The following is a 13,066-nucleotide window of genomic DNA, read 5'->3' as shown; positions in this document are numbered from 1 at the left end:
ATTTCAATCAGCTACTGGAAATGTCAGATGAAAAATGGCACAAATGTGAATTACGACAATAAAAGTTTATAAGCTACTAAAATAAAGTTATAGTACCTAAGAGCGGAGTCAACTGACAATGTTAAACGGAACATTTTACAACCAGTCCTGGGACAATGATAAAAAAAAAAAAAAGGCATACAGAACATGAAGAAGTATCTTATAGGAGACAGACCCAAGATCAAGCTCAGGCTACATGATGGTGTGTGAGCTACCTGGAAAGGGGGCAGGAGGAGGTGATAATCTAAGGTTTGTGGAGTGCCTCCTCTGTGTCCGGCCCTTGACAACCATTATCTCTTTAACTTCTCATGACAACTCAGTAAGGGAGATTCTGTTATCATCATTTCATAGAAGAGAAACTGAGGCTTAAGTGGTCCAGTTATTTGCCCAACGACTACACTGTTAAGGCAAGATTCAACTTTAAAAGTCTACCTGACTAAAGCCCATGCCCTTTCTATATCTTTTTATACCCAATTCTGTCTCTTCACATAGACAGATCATCTCCATATAAATAAAGTAAACTTTAGGTGTCCTGAAGAATCTTTCTGTCTGACTTGATACAAGTGTTTGTCCCATGCTATCAATTCAGGCGATGCTTCTCTTTACCATGTAAATCAGCTATACAGAGAATGTTAAATGAATCTAAATATGGAAAAAATGTGGGACTAGAATGAAGATGAGCATTAGAAAGAAAGCCACATGCTAAAAATGATATTTAAGAATGAATACAGGAGCATTATAGAAAGTTTGAATACGTAATATGGCAATCTTCGGTTTGGGGTTTTCTTTTCTTTTTTTTTTTAAGATAATCCCACTCACAAAATGTTTTGTCCATATCCACAGATTTATACTATCTTTCTCTAACTTTTCTAGTACAAATGTCCTTCTCTCCTGTCACCCACAAACTCCCAAATACCAAGTCATAGTACTTGTCATTTCTGTTTTCCACAGCATCCCCAGTGATGAGAGTGCTCTGGTGTGCCCAGGGGGATCTAGTAGTATCTCCCAAAAGGCTGGTATTTGCCATAATGAAACAATTTCTTTAAAATATTATGTTTTACCTTTAAAGATCTTAGTGAATTTATATTCTTCTTCCTCATCTGACTCTCTTATAATATAGTCTTTTCAATTACTTATTATGGACCAGAATTCATGCTCCAAGAAGAATTAATGTCATGTTAATTCTGAAGCTTCACATACTCTGTGCAAACTCCTCTTACACTAGTCAGAGAAACATGGTGATAAAAAGGTATAATCGCATGACATGCAAAGTGCTGATGTGAAATGAAAAGGACAGAAATACAATTGGGATATTAATTCAAGAGGGGAAAAAATAGCACTGTTTGAATAGGCTTAGAAGGATGGTTTAGTTCTTCCTGAAAATAAGTAGGATGTTATTGCACCTTATCTTGACCTCCACCTCAACTCTCCCCACTCAAGTACAATCAAATGTTTAGTTCCTGTGTGCACACATGCACGGGCACACACACACACATGCACACACACAAAAGCACACATATACACATCAAAAAGGCTACACAATATCCAATAGACAAGACTTATAGAGAAACATTCAGTGAACTTCATTTACTCATCTAAACACCAGATACAGGCATCATGTAACTGTAGCAATAAAACCATAAATTTTCATTATAATAGAACCCAAATAAAATGGTAAAGTGGAACCACAAAATAGGTATAGTAATACTTATTTATACCTATCATAATACCTATTTTGGTATTATTTTGCCAAATAATCCCTATTTGTCAGGCACTGATCTAAATACTGAAAATATAAGGATAAATAAGACACACACAGCTACTGCAAATTAATAGCATAATCAGGATTACCTTTACAACCCAGTTCTTTTGACAAAATAATACCTATTTTGTAAGTTGCACTTTACCGTTTTATTTATTTGTGCTATAATTTATTTAGGCTAGCTTTCAGATATAGGTCCAAGAATATAATAGACACAGCTAATTTTCATTGCTGATCCATAGTAATAGTCATTGAGTAGGTAAAAGACAGAAGACAAACAGCTTTAAATGGGAAGTGGCACAATTAATCACAATTGTCATACTTATGCACTTGCTGACTATGATCAGAATATTTAAGTTAAATCCCATTTATAAGTATGCATTGTCAAGGGAGAGGCCAAGAACCACTTTCTACTGCAGGAAACAACCCTACAACCCATGTGCCAAAGATGGTACTGAAGCCCAGTCCTATTGGGTCAACAGACTGATTGCTCTGGTCCCACACCCTCTTCACCTTCCATTGTAGGAGTTGTTCCTATAAAAAGGCAAGGAAATGATGAAACCTTGTCATTGGTGTCTTCAAAGATGATAATTTCATGTTCTCATAATGCATAACAGTAAAAAAATTCAACTCATTCAGAGCTAGCTACAGTTAAATTAAATTCTCTCTGTTAAGTTAGATTTTTCCCTTTTAAGCATTCTGTAGTGCAATGTAAATACATTTGGTAATACTAGTTCTCCTTGCTGTTTTTAAAGTATTGCCTAAAATTAAGTATCACATATACAATATTCATAAAATAGTGCATTATATTTTATATATTAAACAATACCCCAAAATTTACTGAAGAAATAAAAAGTATGTACGTGGATAGAGATAGAGACAGAGGCAGAGGCAGGGACAGAGACAGAGGCAGAGACAGAGATAGAGATAGAGTTATAGCACAGCTCCAAAGCAAAAGTCAAAACTTAGAAGCAAATTAAAGTAATTACCTTGAACCTTGAATAGTTTCATATATACCCAGTATGACATCATAATGAAGTACAGATCCTTTATTTGGTGGTATCAAATTGAAGAATTTACTTATTAGGTGAAAAGAAAATCTCCATGTTAGCCAGAGATTGCAAGTAATTTGACCAATGAGGTCTGTGATATTATCATAAGGTAGCCCTGGATTTATCAAAGTTGTGAAAATAATCTAACATCTATCACCTATATACATCATCTCACTATCCTTACAATTAGCATATGAAACAGACTCTCTGGTCATAGAAAATACTTTTCATTCATTCACTATATATTTGCCAAATAATCCCCACATGCCAGGCACTGTTCTAAATACTACAAATATAAGGATAAATAAGATACACACATGGCTCCTGCAAGTTAATGGAATAGTCAGGATTACCTTTACAACCCAGTTCTTCTGACACCTATATTTGTGCGATGCAAATTAAGAGTGTTTTGTGACCTTCAAAATATTTGGGGTGCTTTGCTTATCATTTTACTATTAATTACAGAATTAAATAAATTTTGACAATCAAGTTTCAGATGAGCTTTTTTGCTTTGTGGATATTACTGAAGCGAACAAAGCTCTATGAATTGTGGAATGATAAAATATTCACAGAAACTTACAACTCTGCAGTTGAATAACAATTACATTTGTTCCAAACAGGCAATTGGTTTCCAAACACATTAAACAAAGGCAATTTAGAAAGCTTCTTCTTCTTCCTGGCATCATTAACATTGTTGAACGTCCTGGGATTCTGCAGTGTTTCACAAAGGTAAGTAAGTGTGTGGTAAGATGAAAAATTTCTGAGTCCATGAAATATTGGTCTGGGAACCATCACTGAGCCAGGGAATTCTGTACACCATGACTGGACAAATTAGAATATTAGAGCAATTCAACAGATTATTCAGGGTAAGAAATTTCAATTTGGAACTTCACTTTTTCCATCAATCCTTATAATAAAATAGTACTTTACAAATTCTAAAACATATCCTAACACAAGATTTTTTTCCCCACTATGTAGCATCACTTTAGAATTAGAAATAAGCTTATCGATAATAAGAACGAGTGAATCATTACCACTAAAAGCAAATACCATTAAACAAATAGCTAGAAATCTAATGATGCTTGAGATTTGGATCCTATTCAGGCTTTTAAATCAGCAGTGACCATTTCAAGGTCAATTTAAAAAAAACTACAAAATCCCTTAGCTTGTCACCTGAGAGTGGCTTAATATGTACCAGCTACCATCCATCCACCCATCCATTGCCAGCCTCTCTCTCTCTCTCTCTCTCTCTCTCTCTCTCTCTCTCTCTCTCTCTCTCTCTCTCTCTCTCTCCCCTTGACATATTCTTGGACAGCTGTGTACTTTTGAGAAAATTCTCTAACCTCTCTGGGCCTCTGTTTTTACACATGTAAAATAAAAAACCTCTTGTGGGTTTTACGGGGACGAATATTGATAAAGTGCTAATCACAATGTCTGTCACGAAGCAGAAACTAAGCAGATTTTCATTTTCCTCACTTCCTTCCATCCATTTATCTCTTTAGTCATTTAGTCATATATTATCTCATCCATTGTCACTTCACCTTTGCCTAGGTCATTATTTTATTAACCTAACAAATCTCTTTTTGAACATCAGCCATGTGATAGGTGGTGTCATAAACCAGAAAGATGTCAAAGTCAGTATGTCAATAAAGGTTTATTTTCACCAGTGTTCTGCTCTCATTGGGCTTATGGTCCAGCATAAGAAAGAATCAAACCTCATGCAAGGCAGAATTGAAAACAAAATTAAAAGCCTTAATAGCTCCCTGAATTTTTACATTTCTTACACTCCAAAGTGTATAAATTATCAAACTGATCCTTCACAGTATATACTTTTCCTAAATGCTGATCTCATTCTTAGATTGAAAATCAAATTAGAGAACCAGAAAGTTTTGCAGAAAGGTCCAACAGGAATGTTCTCAGCATTGTAGCAAAACAGATTTCACATGGCCTCATTCCCCTCCATCTACTGCCTCCAGACACATAAGTGGTGCTCACCCAGCAATTCTCAAAAACCTGCACCATCTCTCAATTTTTATTTTGTATCCTATGGTAAGGTTTGATCCTTGTCTTTCATAAAATAATTTAGTCACCCAAGTTGAGTCCAGTTTCACAATTTACATGCTATACAAACTTCAGCAAGCTGTTTAACCTTGCTAAACCTCAGTTACTTCATTTGAAAAATGGAAATGATAAAAATAGTAACTGTATCATAAGGCTTTTGTGAGGATGAGTAAATGCTCTGAAGTGTTAGCAATTGTAATTATAATGGTCTTATGCCTAGCCATATGCTCTCTTCTTCCTCCTTTTTATTCTTCTCCTAGACTTACATTGAGGTGTGGCCAAGATGACCGCAGTCATGCACAGAGTTCAGGTAGAAATGGCACTGGACCCAGAATCTATTAGCCCAGGGATTTACTCATTAATATATACACTCAACCAACATGCTAAGCATTGTTCCAGGCAATAGAGAAATAGAGTTGAACAGGCAAACTTGTAGTCTACATGGAGCTAACATCTAGGGCCCAAATTAAAATATTCAAGTGTGATTCCTTCTCTCTGATTGTGGAACTAGTGAGTTCCTGTAAAGAAGTGAGAAATAGTGGCGTGGAGTGCAGAGGAGGAGGTAAGAATAAAAATATACAACACACCAGAGATTGGAGGAACCAAAGATGAGAAGTGACTAAGTAAAAATGTAAAGTTCATTCAGAAATGAATCTGATTCTTACCAAATCTTCTCCATCTCCTATCTACTTTCTCTTCTCCTGCATACTTTCTTAGGGAGGGAATAAAGATAGAGAGAGAGGAAGAAACAAAGCAAGAAGGAAAGAAATTAATTTTCTATGTGTTGAGCAGCCTGTGTTTCTTGGGTGGCATGCTATACACACACAAACAACTGCACTTACTCCCCACCACCTTCTTGGCATATAGATCTTCTCATTCTACATTATAAATCAAAAAACTAAAGTGCAAAGCTAGTTAAATAAACTGACCAAGTTCACACAACTAGGATTCAACCCCAAATTTGTCTCTGAAGCCCATGCTTCTACACTTCTATACTATGCTGCCTCCAGGTGCCATAGAAGAGCTGCCTTCTTGCTCTCTGACAATTCCTAACTTGGTTTGGGAGAAAACTATTTCCTTCAGTTAAAATAACTCTACCCACTACCACCTGTTGACGAGCACCCCACAGGAAAAGAATGGATGTCACATGTCAGAAGTAAGGAGATTCTGGAAAATTTGCCTCCAGAGATTAAGCAGCTAGAACCAATGACATCAATGCCAAAGCACATGCTGCCTTGGGGACCTATTGGCCATTGGGATTGGACAGGCCAAGTCAGAAGAGTTAAGCAAGACACAGTATGAAACCTGAGAGAGAAAGACCAGTGTCTGCAGTGAGGAGCGCATGATTCCGATTTTTTTCTATACTGATTATTTTTGTCAAACACTAATGAACAATAAGCATGCAAAGAAATGGGGAAAAGTACCGATGTCCCAGGGACAGCATTATTGAAACACATTACTTACAAGTCAAATCATATTTAATCTCAGCACATATGCAATCACAATCCCATTTTTTATCAAACCCAAAGGTGTATCTGTTCACAGCCAGGTAATAGTGGCAAATCTATCAAGAACAAGGCAGTCCCAACTTATTCTTGTCCTCAAGATCTTGAGGACAGTGTATTAATTATGAAACAACATCCTCACCAAAATACAGGTAGGATGAGGTCTGTTTTAGCACCCTAGACACCCCCACAGCCAAGTTCATATTAGTCTGATACAATCTTATTGTTAAGTCCTAGAACCAAACCAATCTTGTGAGGGTTACTGGGACATTATCTCAAATCCCCAGCTGCATAAAGCTAGGAATTATCCATAAATATAAGGCCAGACTTACCTGTCACATGTACCACATCAAAGAAACTGAAAACAACCCCTCCACAATCAAATTTGAAATACTGCATTAGTGACATGTCATACTCGAGGCTTTCCAGTTTAGGGGTGAAGGAAGTAGGTAGATGAAAGTAAATATGTCTACAGTGCTTTATATAAATATGTATTCTATCCCACATTTGGTGCTAAAATAAAAAGAAATTTCAGGTGTTTTGAGAGGGAGTGGGCAGAGAGTGTTTGTTTTTATAACTAACACCACTGTCCTTCCAGTGTTGTGAAACACATGTTATAAAGTTGATATTGCACTTGTTTTGTCAAATATTCTAGTAATCTTTTGTGTCTATGCTGTAAGAATTATTGAAAGTGACATAAATCAGAGACAAATGACCAGAGTTGTTCAGGCAGTATTCATTCTCTTAGAGTTACAGTTACAGTTATTTTTAGTAATGTACTGAGAAGGAAAAGAAGGTAAAATTAACTTTTGAAACCTTCACAAATCAAAAATAGATGACTGACCCCATCTATTTTTGAAACTTATGTGTATGTGATAAAATTAAACTTATAGCCGATATTCATTTGTTCATTTGACAAATATTTATTGAACATCTACTATGTATCAATCACTGGGAATAAAGCAGTGAATAAAGCAATTTGAAGTTCCTATTTTGCTGGAACTTACCCGAAAGTGTTTAAGAAAGTAATTTGTCTTTAGAGGCAGTATGCCATGGAGGAAAAGCGCCAGGATTCAGAATAATCAAGTTCTGGTTCCAAATCCAAACTCTGCCAACTACTATTTCTATGAACCTTAAGCAAGTTATTTAATCTCTTGGAAACTTCAGTTTCTTAATCTGTGAAATGGGATGATTCTATCCCACCCTTGCATGGGGCTGGTACTTAGAAGACACTGGAAAGGCAGGTTTTTCTGGAGGTTGGGGATGGAGAGTGCACATTCTAGAAATATATTCATAGACTCCTTCTTTGACAATGGTGCTTTCCACATAATCTCAGCACTGAATTTACAAATTCCCAGTAAACCTCTTATGCATCCTGACCGCCATGAAATCTGTCAAGTCAATAGGCTTTCAGCCTTCTCACCATCTCTCTGTCAGCACTGAAGACAGCGTAGCAGGTTGTTAAAAAGCGCCACCTAAAGGTCCTTATGAGACACTTTACTAAGTCACAAAAACTCCTTTTGTCCTTTTAAAAAGGCTGTTTTGGTGAGCAGTGCTCTTAAATAATCGTCACTGTTGTGCCAGTATCTATGAGCCCATCATAAAAGGTAGACAAGCGCAGGAGGGAAGCAAATGATTTATCAATTCATCTACATCTGGTCCTAAGAAAAGCTTTCTTTCTTTCTTTTTTAGATATTGTAATCTAAATCATTTTAATGCCCAGAACATCCGTGGAAGTAATCTTGAAGAAACACTTCTCCTCCACGAAAAATCTCTGAAATTTTATGGCAGTATACAGGAATTTTCTTCAAGTATTGATCTTTGGGAGACAGCCCTATGAAACTGTGTTTGAGTCTACCTGTCTTATGAGAACAGTATTCATTGTTTTCTTCTTCAGTTGAGCATTTTATGTGTTTTAGTGTAAAAGCCAATATATACAGAGGTGATTTTACAAATATCATCTGTATACTTTATTTACAAAGACTAATTATGAATTTTCTAGTAAACTGTCATGCTTTTGCATTAACATGTTATAGCATTAGAATTAATAAAATAATTTCAAAGTCTCAGTGATTACTCTATGACAAAAAAAATGACAGTTTTCTATACACCAATAATACCTTACAGCTTTCTACAATGGTTCAGCCATTGAAAGCGTATGACCTTTTTTTTGGAGTTTTAATGAGTCATTAGAAGCAAAATGACAGTATTTTAATATACTCTCTTTCAATACACTTAGTGATCCCTTATTACACGTGACCTTATTACATTGTGACCATATACTGTATATAACTGAGTAAATAATAAACATATACATGATTTTCTATATTTGCTGTTAATATTATGCTATCAAAATATGACTTCATTAAGGACATTTTCTCTGAATTTAAAAGCAGTATTACTAAAATAGATGTCCTTAACAAAGAGAATGTCCGCATACTAAAAAAGTTGAAAAATAAATGTAAGTTATGGAATTATTGGAATTAAAAGAAAGAAGGAAATTAGGGAAGATAAAATGAGGGGGCTGAGAGGAGGGTAAGTGACCAAACCAAATAGAGATGCTTAAAGGAATTATATGAATAACATCTTTCGGTCTCCACTGCCAATTCAGATGCATTCAGAAAATTATCTTCTAAGAGTTTCTTCTTTCATAAGCAAAAATATGTGGAAACTCATTTTTTAAAAAATCAAATAAAATTAAAGTCTGTTTCTCAGTAGCAGTATTTGTCAACATTTGGTTGAGGACAACTTGCTACAGGTGAATCTTTCTGGCCCCTATACAGACTGCCTTAACTCAAATCTTTTTTTGAGATTGGGGTCCAGCAATTGGTGGTTTTAATAAGCACACCCAAATCATTCTCATGTTCCCTAAGGTTTAAAAGCCATTGCTTTCCAGGACAATTCATGTTGGATAGGACAGGTGAGTTTATCAGCTGACTGCAAATTATTCTGCAATTATGCACCTCCCTTGTGTATACATAAAATATTTTAGGTCTGTAGAATAAAAGATTTACTCAACTTGATTAGGTATGCTACGCATTTTTAATTGCAAAAGAGGAGCTGTAAAGCACCAGGTGTTTCTGTTACTCAAACTATTTTTTGTTTGAGGACAAATGAAAAGACTTGCTGGTACAGGCATAAATTCGTTTCCTGCAACTTTTTCAAATCCTTTCTGTTTAGCAATTGTTTCCTGGCAAAACAGTGAGGCAGACCCCTAATATTCCTTAGAAGCTTTCCTTGCTGCAAAAGGTTAAATGCCAAGTTTGCAATTTGGGTTTAATGAACACTCACAAGAGCAAGAAATCTTTAAACACTTCACCTCAGTACAAGTGAGAAGCTCTAGTCCCTCTTACTGATAGAAAAGGAGCCTGCTTTATTTTGTTCTCCCCCTCCCCACAAATTTGCCTTCATCTCCTTAATTTCTACATCATAATAGAAAAAGGTGCTCATTGTGGTTTCACTTGTCCTTAGAGCTGAAAGATCTACAGAATTATAAAGTTGACCCAAAGCAAACACCAAAAGAGCTTAGAATCCTCACGTTGGCGTTGACACTCGTGATTAGCTAAATTGCAGTAACTACACAGGCTTCCATTCGGAACAGGATGCATTCACACAGCAGTTTCTTCTCTACTGCCTAGCAACATTATCATTGAGCACCTGGAATAGTTTAGGCATTAAGTGTAATTGGTTTTGCTTTACATAAATCTGTAGCTTTGTAAATAAGCGGAGCATTTCAGCTTCTATATAACACCAATTAACTTAAAGGGATGTGTTGTTTGCAGAAGCCTGCTGGGTTTCGTACTGTATTTCTCCAGTAATATGCTCAGTGGCGGGCGAAGTTCTGTGTCCCTGCAGTGTTCCATTTACTCCAGCCACTTGGTGCCAAGGGTCTGTACCCAGCCACTCATTTGCTCCATTTTTTACTTGTGGCACAAGGTTGGAAAAGTGAAGACTTCCCTAAGAAGCACCTTCTGTGCTCTATTTCTGTCCATGATCAAGGCCTGAAACACAAGGTATTTCAAAATGTTTTCTGTGACCCGCAGAGCCCAGGTCTCACCCCATCTGATTCTGTTCACAACTGACAGTAACATCTCGTTTCTCTTCCTTTTTTTTCTTGTAACACTTCAATCCATTGTAGCCAGAAGTCACTACATTGACCCTATATACAAAATTAAGAAAACTATACTCTCATTACATAAATTTATAAGTGAAGATGATTTTCATCAGAGTGACTTCTTTAATAGCACAAAATAACATTCAGAGATCTGCTCCTGAAAGTAGGTAAATGTTCCCAAGCTCCGTGGATATTTCTCCTTATTTCTTCTTTATTCAGTTTAATCCCTTCTCTCTCATACATATCCCCTTCAGGTAATCTTGATTTATAGCATTCATTCCACCCTAGCCAACCTTTAATTCTCTTGGTTTCTGAAAGTGTTTTATCAACTATCAGAGTAACAATATCACCAAATAACAGCTCGTAATTCCAAAAAGTTTCCTATTATAATATTGCACGATTTACACATTGAAAGAGAGAAAATAATCCTTTCTGAAAACTGTCAGGATCCCTTGTTCTATGAAAACAAAGCTTCCACACTGGTACTCTTAGCCAGTCGGGTGATAGGCATCCACCATCTACCATTCTCTCACTACAAGAGAAGCCAGTGTACAATTATTGGTCCCAGACTTACGAGTAAAGCCTTCACATAAAATCAGCAGCCAAGTGATGACAGCACACAGGTGCTGCTAGAATTCAGGTCTGCTTGTAGAGAGCAGGGAAATTAAAAGAACCACTAACAGTAACAACTCACATCTATGTCACCTTTTATAGTTTACAAGTTGCTGTCGCACATATTATCACATTTGATTAGCACCACCACTCTGGGAGGTAGGCACATTTTAGCATGCCCATTTTGTAAATGAGAAATTGCAACTCTTGACACCTTCATTGATTTATCAAGAGGCACAGAGACAGTAGGTGGCACACACAGGACTTGAACCTTGGTCTGTGTGTCGCTAAAGTGCTAGCTCCTTCTACAACAATACTCATAAAGTCGCCAACACTGGATCATTCCCCAGCCACTTAGGTGAAACACTCTCTACATCATTCACAAGGGAACAAGAATGGGAGGAAAGATTATGTCAAGGTTACAGACTCTGACAAAATGGGTAACAAAAAGCAAACATCTTTTTAGCATCTCTTCTCCCTCACTCAGCTCTCCCTGTGGAGCCAAACAGTTTCCTGACATGGACCTCAGGATGGCAGAAACGGTCCCAGAAAAGACCTACCCAGATTGAACACAACGGCAAGGGAGGTGTTATCAATGTCAAGACCATCCTTTATTTCTCTTTTCATCAAACTGACTTGGCTGTGCTACAGTCAGTTGCAAACTGCCTTAGAAAAGGCAATTTGAGGGCCAGGCACGGTGGCTCATGCCTGTAATCCCAGCACTTTGGGAGGCTGAGGTGGGCGGATCACAAGGTCAAGAGTTCAAGACCAGCCTGGCCAATATGGTGAAACCCCATTTCTACTAAAAATACAAAACTTAGTCGGGCACGGTGGCGCACGCCTGTAGTCCCAGCTACTCTGGAGGCTGAGGCAGAAGAATCGCTTGAACCCGGGAGGCGGAGGTTGCAATGAGCCAAGATCGCGTCACTGCACTCCACCCTGGGAGACAGAGCAAAAAAAAAAAAAGAAAGAAAAGAAAAGAAAAGTCAATTTGAGAAAAACAAATGTACCCTGAAAAGTAGTATTAAAAATTATGAAGACTTCTGTAGTACTTGTTAAGTTGAAGCCATTGTTCTAAGTGTTTTCAAGGCATATGCTCATTTAATCACAGTAACCCCATGAGTTAATACAATGGTTAATTTTATTTTATAGATAAGAAATATGAAAGATACAGGAGCTAATAACTTTCCAAGGGTTATGCGGACAGTATGGGCAGAGTCAAGGTTTGGACCCAGGACATTTGTCTACAAAATCTGGGGGCCATTCCTCTCTACATAACTGTCTTTCAGTACAGCTGTTATCTATAGGATGTTTTTCTATACTCCCAGGGGAACTGAATTCCAGGGAAGACAGTGCCTAAGCTTAATGGATCTCAGTCTTTTTCTGTCTCAACACATAAGAATATGACCTCTTCCATTGGTAATTACCAGGTTGAAACAACATTGATTCTCAACATTCCTATATTGTCCCCCTTCCTCCCCTGTCAAAAATAATTACTATCTCCTGCTTACATGTGAAAGTAGACAGATATTCTGAGAAGAAACATTTTACCAGCAACATTCAGTAAGATGAGAGAAGATGCATGGTTGGGTGATCTGAGGTGGGAATTGTTATTGTAAGGCAAGGAAAAGAGTTTGTTAAATGGTGTGTACAGTGAGGAAGTTAAAGAAGGGATCCAAAGGCATGGCCCTTGGGGCAAAACATCAGGTTCTGTGGCAGCAAGTGGGCACATCTATTTAAGAATTGTTGTAGGCATACTTTTCTAGTGTTCCTCAAATCGTAATGTAAGCCCTCTGTTTCTCATCTGAAACAGTCACAGTTAGATCAAGAGGTCAACTAGGTTCTCTGTTTCCATAACATCTATGCAGACATTCCTGACATTTCCTGGATTCTTCCAGACCTGTCCTCCCACCCTGTTCTC

At 37.1% G+C, this 13,066-nt stretch overlaps 1 protein-coding gene and 1 long non-coding RNA gene across 2 annotated transcripts in view; one reads left to right on the top strand and one right to left on the bottom strand.

The window, feature by feature from the left end:
- SLC15A5 (solute carrier family 15 member 5) overlaps nucleotides 1-9,442 on the top strand; it is an 89,201-nt gene extending 79,759 nt beyond the window's left edge. The window contains exons 8-9 of the mRNA NM_001170798.1: nucleotides 3,474-3,582; nucleotides 8,112-9,442. Of these exons, the coding sequence (NP_001164269.1) occupies nucleotides 3,474-3,582; nucleotides 8,112-8,259 (257 nt within the window). The 3' untranslated portion in view covers nucleotides 8,260-9,442. The remainder of the gene's footprint in view (nucleotides 1-3,473; nucleotides 3,583-8,111) is intronic.
- The window catches only part of LOC101928362 (uncharacterized), a 169,017-nt gene that overhangs the window by 78,599 nt on the left and 77,352 nt on the right, over nucleotides 1-13,066 (bottom strand). The gene's annotated exons all lie outside the window — the stretch shown is intronic.

The sequence above is a fragment of the Homo sapiens genome, chromosome 12 (assembly GCF_000001405.40).
Source record: "Homo sapiens chromosome 12, GRCh38.p14 Primary Assembly".
NCBI classification, from domain to species: domain Eukaryota; kingdom Metazoa; phylum Chordata; class Mammalia; order Primates; family Hominidae; genus Homo; species Homo sapiens.
Note: the sequence above shows the minus strand (reverse complement) of the source record. Positions and strands in the feature narration are given on the sequence as shown.